Source organism: Homo sapiens, chromosome 9, assembly GCF_000001405.40.
Source record: "Homo sapiens chromosome 9, GRCh38.p14 Primary Assembly".
Lineage (NCBI taxonomy): Eukaryota > Metazoa > Chordata > Mammalia > Primates > Hominidae > Homo > Homo sapiens.
The window spans coordinates 96,657,394-96,672,136 of record NC_000009.12 but is presented as its reverse complement, the minus strand read 5'-3'; the positions used below and the strand labels follow the sequence as shown (position 1 = coordinate 96,672,136).

The 14,743-nt window shown below is 45.8% G+C and overlaps 1 annotated feature.

The window, feature by feature from the left end:
• Window positions 4,986-5,486: an enhancer, noted in NCBI's record as "H3K4me1 hESC enhancer chr9:99428933-99429433 (GRCh37/hg19 assembly coordinates)". NCBI's record gives its function as "activates a minimal SCP1, AML or CMV promoter by ChIP-STARR-seq in naive and primed H9 embryonic stem cells {active_cell/tissue: H9 hESC(naive and primed)}" and the evidence as "EXISTENCE:reporter gene assay evidence [ECO:0000049][PMID:30033119]".

Sequence of the window (14,743 nt, the reverse complement as noted above, 5' to 3'; positions counted from 1 at the left end):
TGCTCTTTTATAGCCACAGCCACTTCCCTCCCATCTCCACCCCTTCTTTACCCCTGGAAACCACTAATCCTTTCTTCATTTCCATAATTTTGTCAGTTGAAGAATGACAAAGTGGAATCATACAACATGTAACCTTTGGAATTAATTTTTTCACTTGGCGTAATTCTCAGGAGCTTCATCCAGGTTGTTGTGTGTGTCAGTAGTTTGCTTTGTTCTTTTTTATTGCAAAGTAGTATTCCATGATGTGAGGTTGCCACAGTTTGCTTAACCCTCACCTATTGAAAGACATCTGAGGCCAGGCGTGGTGGCTCATGCCTGTAATCCCAGCATGTTGGGAGGCCAAGGCAGATGGATTATGAGGTCAGGAGATCGAGACCATCCTGGCTAACACAGTGAAACCCAGTCTCTACTAAAAATACAAAAATTAGCTGGGCATGGTGGCACGTGCCTATAGTCCCAGCTACTCAGGAGGCTGAGGCAGGAGAATCATTTGAATCGGGAGGCAGAGGTTGCAGTGAGCCGAGATTGCACCACTGCACTCCAGTCTGGGCAACAGAGCAAGACTCCGTCTCAATAACGAAAAAAAAAAGACACCTGGATTGTTTCCAGCTTTTGACTATTAGGAATAGGCCAGGAGCGGTAGCTCATGTCTGTAATCCCAGAACTTTGGGAGGCCGAGGCAGATGGATCACGCGGTCAGGAGATCTAGACCATCCTGGCCAACATGGTGAAACCCCGTCTCTACTAAAAATACAAAAATTAGCTGGGTGTGGTGGTGCGCACCTGTAGTCCCAGCTACTCGGGAAGCTGAGGCAGGAGAATCGCTTGAACCTGGGAGGCAGAGGTTGCAGTGAGCCGAGATTGCAGCACTGCACTCCAGTCTGGGCAACAGAGCAAGACTCCATCTCAATAAAAAAAAAAGAAAAAAACACATCTGGATTGTTTCCAGCTTTTGACTATTAGGAATAGGCCAGGCGCGGTAGCTCACGCCTGTAATCCCAGCACTTTGGGAGGCCAAGGCAGGTGGATCGCGGGGTCAGGAGATCTAGACCATCCTGGCCAACATGGTGAAACCCCGTCTCTACTAAAAATACAAAAATTAGCTGGGTGTGGTGGTACACACCTGTAGTCCCAGCTACTCGGGAAGCTGACACAGGAGAATTGCTTGAACCTGGGAGGCGGAGGTTGCAGTGAGCCAAGAATGCACCACTGCACTCCAGCCTGGGCAACAGAGCAAGACGCCAGCTGAAAAAAAAAAAAAAAGACACGGATGCCAGGCTCAGTGGCTCATGCCTATAATGAAAGTACTTTGGGAGGCCAAAGCAGGAGGATCACTTGAGCCTAGGTTCAAGACCCAGTTTGAACTGGGCAACAGGGAGACTCCATCTCTACCAAAAAATTGTTTTAAATTAGCCAGGCATGGTGGCACAAGCCTGTTGTCCCAGCTACTTGGAAGGCTGAAGTGGGAGGATTATCTGAGCCCAGGAAGTTGAGATTGCAGTGCACCATGATCCCACCGCTACACTCCAGCCTGGGCAACAGAGCAAGACCTTTCTCCAAAAAAAAAAAAAAAAAAAAAAAAAAAGACTGGGAAGAGCAAAAGCTGAGTGGATTAGGGATGGCCTGATCCCCACATCTCAGGAGCTCCCTGCAGAAAGAAACATGTGATCACATCTGTGCACAACTTAATCCTTCAAGTCTGGAATGTTACCTTATCTGGTAAAAGGGACATCGCAGTGCTGAGACCAGCTCAGTCACGGAGACCTAACCCAGCGGCGCTAGAGGAATTAAAGACACACACACAGAAATATAGAGGTGTGGAGTGGGAAATCGGGGATCTCACAGCCTTCAGAGCTGAGAGTCTTGAACAGAGATTTTACCCATGCATTTATTAACAACAAGCCAGTGATAAGCATTGTTTCTATAGATTATAGATTAACTAAAAGTATTCCTTACGGGAAATAAAGGAATGGGCTGAAATAAAGGGATGGGTTCTGGCTAGTTATCTGCAGCAGCAGCATGTCCTTAAGGTACAGATCACTCATGCTATTGTTTGTGGTTTAAGAACGCCTTTAAGCGGTTTTCTGCCCTGGGTGGTCCAGGTGTTCCTTGCCCTCATTCCAGTAAACCCACAACCTTCCAGCGTGGGCATCATGGCCATAACGAACATGTCACAGTGCTGCAGAGATTTTGTTTATGGCCAGTTTTGGGGCCAGTTTATGGCCACATTTTGGGGGCCTGTTCCCAACATTGCAGTTGTGATTAAGTTAAGGATTTTGAGATGGGGAGGTTAGCCTGGGTTATCCAGGTGGACCCAAGGTAATCACTAAGTTTTTTTTTTTTTGAGATGGAGTCTCGCTCTGTCACCCAGGCTGGAGTGCAGTGGCGCAATCTCGGCTCACTGCAAGCTCCGCCTCCTGGGTTCACGCCATTCTCCTGCCTCAGCCTTCTGAGTAGCTGGGACTACAGGTGCCCGCCACTAGGCCGGCTAATTTTTTGTATTTTTAGTAGAGATGGGGTTTCACCGTGTTAGCCAGGATGGTCTCGATCTCCTGACCTCATGATCCACCCATCTAGGCCTCCCAAAGTGCTGGGATTACAGGCATGAGCCACCACGCCTAGCCTGTAATCACAAAGATCTTTATAAAAGAAGGCAGGAGATCACAGTGAATAGTAGGAGATGTGACAATGATGGAAGCAAACATTGTAGTGATGTAGGGAAGAAGTCACAAACCGAGGAATGCAGGTAGCCACTAGAAACTGAAAAAGCAAGAAAATCGATTCTCCCCTCATAGCTCCTGGGGCGCCGGCCCCGCCAACACCTGGACTTTAGCCAAATGAAACTGATTGCAGACTTCTGACCTCCAGAACTCTAAGAACAAATTTGTGTTGTTTTAAACCACTGAGTTTGTGTAGTTTGTTGCAACAGCAATCGGACGTTAATACCCTATCTTTGAGGAGGAACAGAACTGAACAAAGCTTCACCAAACTGAAAGGAAGCTCAGGGCCCTGTGCGGGCGTTTGAGTGAGAGCGCTTGGAGACTCCGCGCCTCCTCCCTCAAACATGGTCCCTCAGCGTAGATGGCACCACACGGCACGCAGTGGCGGGGGTTGGCAGGGAGGGAATCTCCCCCCTTTGGCAGGAATTAATTGGGCTTCTTAGATGCGTAAGGAACAGTCACACTCAGGTGATGGTACATCAGAGTACATGTGGATGGGAGGAGGCATCAGAAGTTCATTCAAGGCCGAGCACAGTGGCTCACGCCTGTAATCCCAACACTTTGGGAGGCTGAGGCGAGTGGATCAGTTGAGGTCAGGAGTTTGAGGCCAGCCTGGCCAACGAGGTGAAACTCCATCTCTGCTAAAAATACAAAAATTAGCTGGACGTGGTGGCACATGCCTGTAATCCCAGCTACTCGGGAGGCTGAGGCAGGAGAATCACTTGAACCTGGGAGGTAGAGGTTGCAGTGAGCTGAGATCATGCCATTGCACTCCAGCTTGGGCAATAAAGTGAGACTCAGTCTCAAAAAAAAAAAAATTCATTCAATCAAATAACTCAGCAGCCACTCAGATTAGTACTTTGTGAAGATATTCAGGAGACATTGCAGGAAACATGAACCATCGTTGTTTGACCCATGACCTGCCCTTTATGGGAGAACCTGTACTTGCCATAAATAGAACCTATATTTTCCAAGAGTTCTAGGAGATGGGATTGGGTCCATTTTCTGGCTTCCCAGGCAGAGCACTCTTATGGGGCAGTGGTTTATCCCCAAGCAACCCCTCAGAATCACTTGACACAGGGCTGCCTTTGAATCCAGCTCAGTCCCCAGCCAGGGCAGCAGGACTGGTTTTGTCGAATGTCCAGGGCAGGAGTGAGCCATTTGGGCAGGCATTCCTTGGAAGAGCACATGGTCGGAGTGTGCCTTGAGAGCCTCACGACACCACTCCAGAACAAGGAGTAAGAATGGAATTGGAACATAGGAAGAGACAGATGGCAGAAGTGTTTACCCTCCCTTTATTCGTTAAATGCAGTGTCTGGTGTCACTCATATACTACCCACTGTTCCTGTGCTCTACCTGAAGGCAAGATCTTTAAAAGGCTGAATGAATGACCTTGGCCCCTCAGCTTCATGTGCTTCCTGGGGGTGCACCAGAGCAGGGTTGCCCACGACTGGCAGCCCAGCATCTGTGAGCCCTGCTTGCTGACCATTCCAAGGGAGGGAAATGTTTCCATTGTCTCTTTTATTGCTCCACTCACGACATCCCATCTCAAGCTGCTTTTGGTTTGCTTGGGATATTTTCTCCAGGTGAAGTTCAGGCCCTCAGTTCCCTCTCACAGTTCCTCAACTGTGCTTTGTTTACCTGATGGTTCTTCTTCCTCCTTCAAACCTTAGTCATCACAGCAACAAATAAAGCAAAAGTAGCAGGGATTTTCTGGTGAGCCCAGTGTGCTGGGGCACCCCCATAAATTAGAGCTAATTTTACACTGGCCTGTCTGGGTCCCCGCAAACCTTTCAGTTTGGCCTCCAGTTACTCTCCTCAGAGGCCAGAGGGAGCCCTTTGGCCTTCAATGTCCCATGCTGCAGGGAATTTTGACTCCTGCAGGGAATCCCAGTGGCCACCTGGATGTGCTGGATGGGATGACCCCAGCTCCAGCTGCCTTGGCTGTGGAGAATCAGAGTTCAAACCACTTAGAGTCTGCGGTTACTACTTCCAGCAGGCCAAGATGGACACCATAGCCCTGGTATAAACTTCTAGTCTTATACAGCTCCACAAGGCACTGATACCTTCTTTAATAAATGTTGGGCCGGGCGTGGTGGTTCACGCCCATAATCCCAGCACTTTGGGAGACTGAGGCAGGCAGATCACGAGGTCAGGAGTTCGAGACCAGCCTGATCAACATGGCGAAACCCCCTCTCTACTAAAAATACAAAAATTAGCTGGTCGTGTTGGCAGGCACCTGTAATCCCAGCTACTCAGGAGGCTGAGGCAGGAGAATCGCTTGAACCCGGGAGGCGGAGGTTGCAGTGAGCCGAGATCACACCACTGCACTCCAGCCTGGGCAACAAGAGTGAGACTCCATCTCAAAAAAATAAATAAATAAATAAAAATAAATGTTTAATACTGCCACCTTCAAACTGACCACAAGAAGGTGCTGTTCCTCCAATCATGCACAGAAAGGTCTCTGGTTTCTTAGAAAACCCAGTGACACAGCTGAAACTGAGCTGAGACCTACAAATGGGGATTTACTAAAATCTGAGAAAAGGAAAGGAAAATAAATCTTGAGACTTTCACAACCCAGTTAATCTGGTGTATAGGTCAGTTTTCTCACCGTCAGCTCACACCTGACCACAAGGAGGCCTCTGGTCCTAGTTCCAGGGCTGTGCTCTCAGAAGGGACCATCTTTTTTTTTTTTTTTCAGATGGAGTCTCGCTCTCGCCCAGGCTGGAGTGCAGTGGCGCAATCTTGGTTCAGTGCAAGCTCCGCCTCCTGGGTTCACGCCATTCTCCTGCCTCAGCCTCCCGAGTAGCTGGGACTACAGGCGCCCGCCACCACGCCCGGCTAATTTTTTGTATTTTTAGTAGAGATGGGGGTTTCACCGTGTTAGCCAGGATGGTCTCGACCTCCTGACCTTGTGATCCGCCTGCCTTGGCCTCCCAAAGTGCTGGGATTATAGGAGTGAGCCACCACGCCCGGCCCAGAGGGGACCATCTTTACCCTCACCACCAAGGAACTTCTTGGGGGGACACCTCTACCCCTAATGTCTAGCCCCAAGAAAGGGGGGAAAAGAGAGGTTGACACATCCCTTCTCCAGTTTACTATTAGGAAGAACGTCCTCCCAAGACTAAAAGACCCAGCTCACTCTCAGTAACTAACAGCAGCAGCCATGCTCCCTAAAGATTCTGCCTCACCTGGCAAGGCCTCACTCCTCTAGTGTGGTCTCCAAAGTCCCAGAATATTGCTGGGATATTCTGGAATATTCCTGTCAGAGCATATGTAACTGGACAGGCACCAACTCTCACAAACTCCCTTTGAAGCCCAGTACTCAGTTCTCATCTTCCCATCTCCCTTCTCAAAAAGGTTTCCTGTCTGAGGATCACAATCTTCCCGGGGTCAGCCCCGAACACATTTCCCTGCCTCAGCATTTCTCATGGTGGGTAAGGAGGACCGCAGATCGTTCAGCCTGGCGAGCCACACCACTCTGAGCAAATAGGGTTTTCAAGAGGTAAGCAGGTGTGCCAGTGAGAAATGTTTATTACTAGAATCTGGCCTGGGGTGACAGAGGTACACATGATAGTCAGAATCATATTGTCCAGGGATAACGAGTCTATCAGGCTCTCTACCATATTGCTATCAGATCTGAGTGAAGATGTTTGATAATATTATATGTTTGCCAAGATGGGAATGACCACCAGAACTAAGAAAGGAGGTCTCCTCAAGAATCCTCTTTTGGATTTCCTTCTCCTACTGAAAACAAAGTGCAAATGAGCTCCCAAAGTCCTCTTATTAGGCAGGTGAAGTGGCTCATGTTTGTAATCCCAGTGCTTCGGGATGCCAGGGTGAGAGGACTGCTTGAAGCCTGAAGTTCAAGACCAACCTGGGCAATAGAGTGAGACTCCATTTCTACAAATAAAATAAAAAATTAGCCAGGCATGATGGTGCACACCTATAGTCTCAGCTACTTGGGAGGCTGAGGTGGGAGGATCACTTGAGCCCAGGAGTCTGAGGCTGCAGTGAGCAATGATCACATCACTGCACTCCAGCCTAGGTGACAGGGCGAGACCCTATCTCTAAAAGTAAATAAAATAAAAATAAAGCAGCCACAAAAAAAGAATAAAACCATGTCCTTTGCAACAATATTGGTGGAGCTGGAGGCCATCATCCTAAGTAAATCAACTCAAACAAAATCAAATACTGCATGTGTTCTTACTTATACTTAGTGAGCTTAAACTTACAAGGGAGCTAAAGTGTAAGTAGAAACTTATAAGTGAGCTAAACAACGGGTACACATGGACATAAAGATGGGAATAATAGACACTGGGACTCCAAAAGCAGGGAAAGTGGGCGGGGATCAAGGGCTGAAAAATCACTTATCAGGTCCACTGTTCACTATTTGGGTAATGGGTTTACTAGAAGACCAGTCTCCACCAGTACACAATGTACCTGTGCAACAAACATGCACATGATCCCCTCAGTTGAAAATAAAATAAAATTTAAATAAAGTCTGGGCATGGTGGCTCATGACTGTAATCCCAGCACTTTGGGAGGCTGAGGTGGGTGGATCACCTGAGGTCAGGAGTTCGAGGCCAGCCTGGCTAACATAGTGAAATCCCATCTCTACTAAAAATACAAAAATTAGCCAGGAGTGGTGGCAGGCACCTGTAGTCCCAGCTACTCCAGAGGCTGAGGCAGGAGAATCGCTTGAGCCCAGGAGGCAGAGGTTGCAATGAGCCAAAATTGTGCCACTGCACTCCAGCCTGGGTGACAGAGCAGTCCACCTCAAAAAATAAAATAAAATAAAAAATTTAAAAAAGTTTAGGTCCTCCTATTTATAATGTATACAAGCAGTACCACCCAGTATATGCCTCTTGTGACTTCTCCAATAAAATCCTTTATTTGTACAATATTTGCCAGTTCTTCTAGATAAAAAAATGATTCTTTATAATTTGCTTTTTGTCTTATTTAAAGAGCCAATCTGATGTATGAAATATAATGAGAATTCTAATTCATTTTTTTCTGACCTGCCAGGATAGTTCACAAAAATTCATGCACTATTGGGTTTCATTTCACTTTTAAGCCATTTCTAGATGTTTATTTTCAACAACAAACAGAAGAGATAGCAAGTGGTGACTTCACTTTGTCCTAACGTATCAGGTATCTTCAGGAGGAACTCAGTCATAGGTGCTGGGGTTACGGAGAACAATGTATACGACAGGATCTCCTTGAGCTCTAGGGGACCAAAGTCACCATTATCCATAGAATCAGTATAATTTCTGCAGTTAGGGCCGGGCGCGGTGGCTCACGCCTGTAATCCCAGCACTTTGGGAGGCGGAGGCGGGCGGATCACGGGGTCAGGAGATGGAGACCATCCTGGCTAACACGGTGAAACCTCGTCTCAACTAAAAAATACAAAAAAATAAATAAATAAATTAGCCGGGAGCGGTGGCTGGCGCCTGTGGTCCCAGCTACTCGGGAGGCTGAGGCAAGAGAATAGCGGGAACCGGGGAGGCGGAGCCTGCAGTGAGTGGAGATAGCGCCACTGCAGTCCGGTCTGGGCCAAAGAGCGAGACTCGTCTCAAAAAAAAAAAAAAAAATCTGCAGTTAGTTAAAACACTTGGTTACAAGTAGGAGAACAGCATAAAATCAACTTAAAGTCAAAGAGGGAAATTTGTTATCAGCATTTAAAGGTGACTCACAGAACCAGAGGCAGAGATGCAGCCAGGGCTCAGTAATGGACTGGAAGCAAAGACTCTGCTGCATTGGGAATCTTTCTCCTTCAGGGACTCTTCATGTGTGCTTTGCTCTTCTTCCTTTCTTAGCAGGCTGGATTTCTGTGTTCCCCAGGCAATGTAGCAAAATGCGTATACTACCAAATCATGAGTTTACATCTGTCCTGTTTACGAGTCAGCCAGAGTGAGGCTGGAAAGAGGGAGTGGGAGACCGAGAACCAGCCCAGTAGGTCAGGTTCCCTACAGCTGGCATTTTTCTTTTTTTCTTTCTTTCTTTTTTTTTTTTTTTTTTTGAGATGGAGTCTTGCTCTTTTTGCCCAGGCTGGAGTGCAATGGCGTGATCTCAGCTCACCACAGCCTCTGCCTCCTGGGTTCAAGCGATTCTCCTGCCTCAGCCTCCCAAGTAGCTGGGATTACAGGCATGTGCCACCATGCCTGGCTAATTTTGTATTTTTAGTAGAGACGGGGTTTCTCCATGTAGGTCAGGCTGGTCTTGACCTACTGACCTCAGGTGATCTGCCCACCTCAGCCTCCCAAAGTGCTGGGATTACAGGCGTGAGCCACCGCGCCCGGCTACAGTTGGCATTTTTGAGATCATCTAGTCTAGTAGTTTCTCTCTCTCTCTGTCATCCTCTAACTCTCTTTCACTCTGTTTCTCAGTTTAATGTTAGACATACTCTTACAGTCAAATATTCATGTAATCCATAAGTATATGGAGGAAAACACGAGAGGCCTCTCATAACCTCACTTCCCTCTTCACAGGGGTAGCCACTGTTAACAAGTATATACACTTCCAGTTCCTTTTCTGTGCATCCATATCAATATAAGTACATGTATATATCAGTTTTCTTTATTTCACTTAAAGTGGCTTGTATTATATGCATTGATACTTGCCTTTTTTACTAAATATGAATTGAAGATCTTTCCATGTCAGTATATACAAATCTACTTCATTCTCTCTATAAATCATAATGAATATGTCCTCAATTATGTAACCAGTTTGTGTTGATGAGTAATTAGGTTGATTCCACTTTATGATGGTTAATTTATGTGTCAACTTGGCTCAACTCTGGTCCCCAGGGGTTTGGTCAAACACCAGTCTACACGTTGCTGTGAAGGTATTTTTTTTGCTGTGATTAACATTTAATGATTGCTTCTCTGAAAAACAAACCTAGAGCTTCATCCTCAGAGTAGCTGAATTACAACACAAATGGGACAACACAAGTTAGGACCTGGAGGGAACATGATTAGAAAACTGGTGATAAGGAGGTCTGGGGAACAAGTGAATGGACCCACGTCTCCGAATAAGTGAAAAACGAAAACATTTGTATTCCATGAGGAATACTCATCAAAGGGTGACCTCAGGAGAGGAGGATTTTAATAATCAAGTGGATAGGTTGATTTTTGTGTGGATACTAGTCAGCCTTTTTCCACAACCCAAAGTTGTGCATGGCAGTGGTGAAGGTATGCATGAGTTCAGCAACGTGGACGTTCACTAGCCAGGGCCAAGCTGGCCACAGCTGCTGCTGAGTAGGCCTAATCTGCCAGAAACAGAAATCGACACTGTGCTCCCACTGTGGCACCCTTCTCCAGGGTGATTCCAGCTACCTGGTGGCAGGTGGATTATATTGGACCACTTACACCATGGAAGCAGCAGCATTTTGTTCTTACTGGAATAGACACACCCTACATAAGGATTTGCCTTCCCAGTACACCGTGCTTCTGCCAAAACTATCACTTGTGAACTTACAGTATGCCTTATCTACTGTCATGGTATTCCACACAACATTCCTTCTATTCAAGGAACTCACTTCAAGACAAGTGAAGTACAGCAGTGAGCTCGTGCTCATGGAATTCACTGGTGTTACCATATTCCCCACCATCTTGAAGCAGCTGGCTTGACAGAACAGTGGAATGGCCTTTTGAAAATTCAGTTACAGCCGGGCATGGTGGCTCACGCCTGTAATCCCAGCACTTTGGGAGACGAAGGCAGGTGGATCACCTGAGGTCAGGAGTTTGAGACCAGCCTGACCAACATGGAGAAACCTCGTCTCTACTAAAAATACAAAATTAGGGCCAGGGGTGGTGGCTCATGCCTGTAATCCCAGCACTCTGGGAGGCCAAGGCGGGCGGATCACGAGGTCAGGAGATCGAGACCATTCTCGCTAACACGGTGAAACTCCGTCTCTACTAAAAATTACAAAAAATTAGCCAGGCGTGGTGGCAGGCACCTGTAGTCCCAGCTACTCGGGAGGCTGAGAATGGCGTGAACCCGGGAGGCAGAGCTTGCAGTGAGCCAAGATCGCACCACTGTACTCCAGCCTGGGCGACACAGTGAGACTCCATCTCAAAAAAAAAAAAAAAAATAGCCGGGCCTGGTGGCGTGTGCCTGTAATCCCAGCTACTCGGGAGGCTGAGGCAGGAGAATCTCTTGAACCTGGGAGATGGAGGTTGCAGTGAGCCGAGATCGCACCATTGCACTCCGGCCTGGGCAACAAGAGTGAAACTCCATCTCAAAAAAAAAAGTGAAGGGGAGGGGAGGGGAGGGAAAGGGAGGGGAAGGGAAGGGAGTTCAGTTACAGCACCAGCTAGGTGACCATACCTTGCAGGGCTGAGGCAAGGCTCCCCAAGAAGCCGTGTATTCTCTAAATCAGTGTCCGATACATGATACTGTTTATCTGACAGACAGTATTTACAGGTGCAGGAATCCAGGGGTAGAAATGAGAGTGGCACTACACAATATTTGCAAAGCTTTCGCTTCCTGTTCCCATGACCTCATGCTCTGCTGGTCTACAAGTCTTAGTTCTGAAAGGAGGAATGCTTCCACCAGGTCACACAACAATTAACTTCATTGAACTGGACAACAAGACAACCACCCAGCCATTGCAGGCTCTGCATGCCTCTGAGTCAACAGGTAAAGAAGGGAGCTACTCTACTGCCTGGGATGATTTTTTCCTAATTACGAAGGGTCACTGGATTTCACAATAGAGGTAAGGAAAAATATGGCTGGGATGCAGGACATCCCTTGGGGTGTCTCTTAGAACTAACATTCCCTCTGATTAAAGTCAATGGAAAACTACAACCCAATCCAGGCGGGACTATGAATGGCTCAGCCCCTTCAGGAATGAAGGTTTGGGTCATCCCACCAGTCAAAAAAACCACACAACCAGCTGAAGTGCTTGCTGTGGACAAGGGAATATGGAATGGATAATAGAGGAAGGTATTTATAAATATCAGGTATAATAAACACGTGACCAATTGTTTAAATGAGAATGGTAGTTGCTGTGAATATTTCTTCTTTATTTTCTTATGAATATGTCTGTGTGTGTGCGCATGTGTGCGTAAAATCTTTTCTGTCTTCTTTAGCCCCTTATATACTGTAGGATGTATTAACTTTACACCACAGTATTTAAATACTCTTAACTTTTTTATCATAGTATTTAAGTTATAGGATATTAAGAAGAGTGAAGATCATCCAAGGATTCTGCATCCTTTTCTGGGGGAAAAGTTAATGCGTTTTTCAGTTCTTTTTTTTTTTTTTGAGACAGAGTCTTGCTCTGTCATCCAGGCTGGAGTGCAGCGGCATATCTCGGCTCACTGCAACCTCCACCTGCCAAGTTTAAGCAATTCTCCTTCCTCAGCCTCCCAAGTAGCTGAGATTACAGGCGCCTGCCACCACACTCAGCTAGTTTTTGTATTTTTAGTAGAGACGGGGTTTCGCCATGTTGGCCAGATTGGTCCCGATCTCCTGCCCTCTGGTGATCCACCCACCTCAGCCTCCCAAAGTGCTGCGATTACAGGCATGAGCCACTGCGCCCGGCCATTGCATTTTCAGTTCTATGCCAGATAGTTGTATCCTGTTAGGCAGAAGTATGACTTTGTTATTATCTTTATATGGAGATTAAGTGTGGTTTTAGGGGATGTGTATGGGTGCCAAGTTGACAAGAGATAGACTGGTGATTAACTTTATGTGTTAACTTGACTAGGACATGATATCCAGTCATTTTGTTAAATGCTAGTCTAAGTGTTGTTATAAAGGTATTTTTTAGATGTCATTAACATTGAAATCAGTAGACTTTGAGTAAAGCAGATTACCCTCCATAATGTGGGTGAGTTTCATCCAATCAGAGAAGGCTTAAGCAAAAGCAGGTTTCCTGAAAAAGAAGCACTTCTCAAAACTGCAAGATGATTCCAGCCTCTTGCCGTGCAAAATTAGGACTCAAGACTGCAACACCAATACTTACATTCATTTACAGCCTGCTCACCTGCCCTACACATTTCAGATGTGCCAGCCCCCACAATCACTAGTAAGTTTCTTAAAAGAAATTTGCTCTCGGCTGGGCACGGTGGCTCACACCTGTAATCCCAGCACTTTGGGAGGCCGAGGGGGGTGGATCACCTGGGGTTGGGAGTTCAAGATCAGCCTGGCCAACATGGAGAAACTCTGTCTCTACTAAAAATACAAAATTAGCTGGGTGTGGTGGCACATGCCTGTAATCCCAGCTACTTGGGAGGCTGAGGTAGAAGAATCACTTGAACCCAGGAGGTGGAGGTTGCAGTGAGCCGAGATTGCGCTATTGCACTCCAGCCTGGGGAACAAGAGCAAAACATCGTCTCAAAAAATAAATAAATAAATTCACATACTCTCTCCATTTTATATATATGTATAAAATGTCTCTATTTATATACAGAGAGATATATACATACACATATATATAGATCTATATATCGATATATACATCTATATATCGATATATAGATGTATATATCTCTCTATAGAGAGAGATATATCGATATATATGGTCTGGTTCTCTTCTGGAGATCCCTAATATAACACTCAAAAAATTAATGAATTGTACACCCACATACACAGTAGCTTTATTCATAATACGATAGACACAACCCACATGTCCATCAACAGATGAATGGATAAAGAAAATGCGGTAGATACATTCAATGGAATATTATTCAGGCTTAAAAAGGAAGGAAATCCTGACAAGTGCTGCTACAAGGATGAACCTTGAAGAGATTGTGCCAAGTGAAGTAAGTTAATCACAAATGGACAAATACTGTATGATTCCAGTTACACAAGATAAATAGAGTTATCAAACTCATAGAGATAAAAAGTAGAATGGTGGTTGCCAGGCGTTAGGTAGAGCAGGGAATGGGCAGTTAGTGTTTAAAGGTTATGGAGTTACAGTTTGAGATGATGAAAAAGCTCTGGAGATGGATGATGGAGCAGGCTGCACAACAGTGTGAATGTACTTAATGCTAATGAATTACACATTTAAAAATGGTTAAAGTGGGAAATTTTATGTCATGTATATTTTACCACAAAAGGGGGAAATATTTTTTAAAATTAACAAATTAAGAAAAACTGTACACACTGTTTGTATTATCCCCTCAGAGCTGTATTCTTGGCAGTTGAATCTCTAGTTGGACTTGTCAGAAGATATTTTGGAGGACGCTTTCTTGAGCAACACAGTAGTTACACTGGCAACTCTACAAACATGTAGTGCTGTCTCTGTATTTTTTAGTGTGTGTTCTTTGATTTATTTTAAACCATGGACATATGAAGTTATACCACCAAATATTAGCAGGTCATTCCTAAATAATAACAGAACGGAAACAGTAATAGTTTACATTTACTTTTCCTTAATCATAGTATCTAAAGGTGCTGTATTAGTCTGGGTCCAATAACGAGATTTAAACCACACTGTAGGTTAAACAGGGAAAGTTTAATATAATGAATGAGTAAACTCTGATCAGGTGACATGCACCTGTAATCTCAGCTACTCAGGAGGCTGAGGCAGGAGGAATGCTTGAGGCCAGGAGTATGAGACTGTAGTGTGCTATAATCATAGCACCTGTGAATAGCCACTGGACTCCAGCCTGGAAAACATTAGTGAGACCCCATCTCTGAAAAAACAACAACTCTGATTAAAGTGTGTCTAGAAAATATAAGGAACCTATGGCTAAGGACCAATACTCAAAGAAGACAAACTTGAAAGGGACCCCTTCCCCAAATCTGGGTTTCAGATCTGACTGGAGCAGGTATAGTTCAGCCTACTGGATAGCTATGTGTAGAAGTTTGATGGCTTGCCCAGGCTGGATCTGGTATACAGTCAAGGGAAAGGCAGAAAGGAACCCACTAGAATGCAGGCAGGGCATAGGTCATCAGCAAGCAGTGGATGAGAGCAGAGGCAATGGTGATGGGTACAGGTGAGCCAACGGCTCTACAGAGAGCGGTGGCTCGATGGGAACAGGTGAGGAATTGGGGGCACAGGTGAGGAA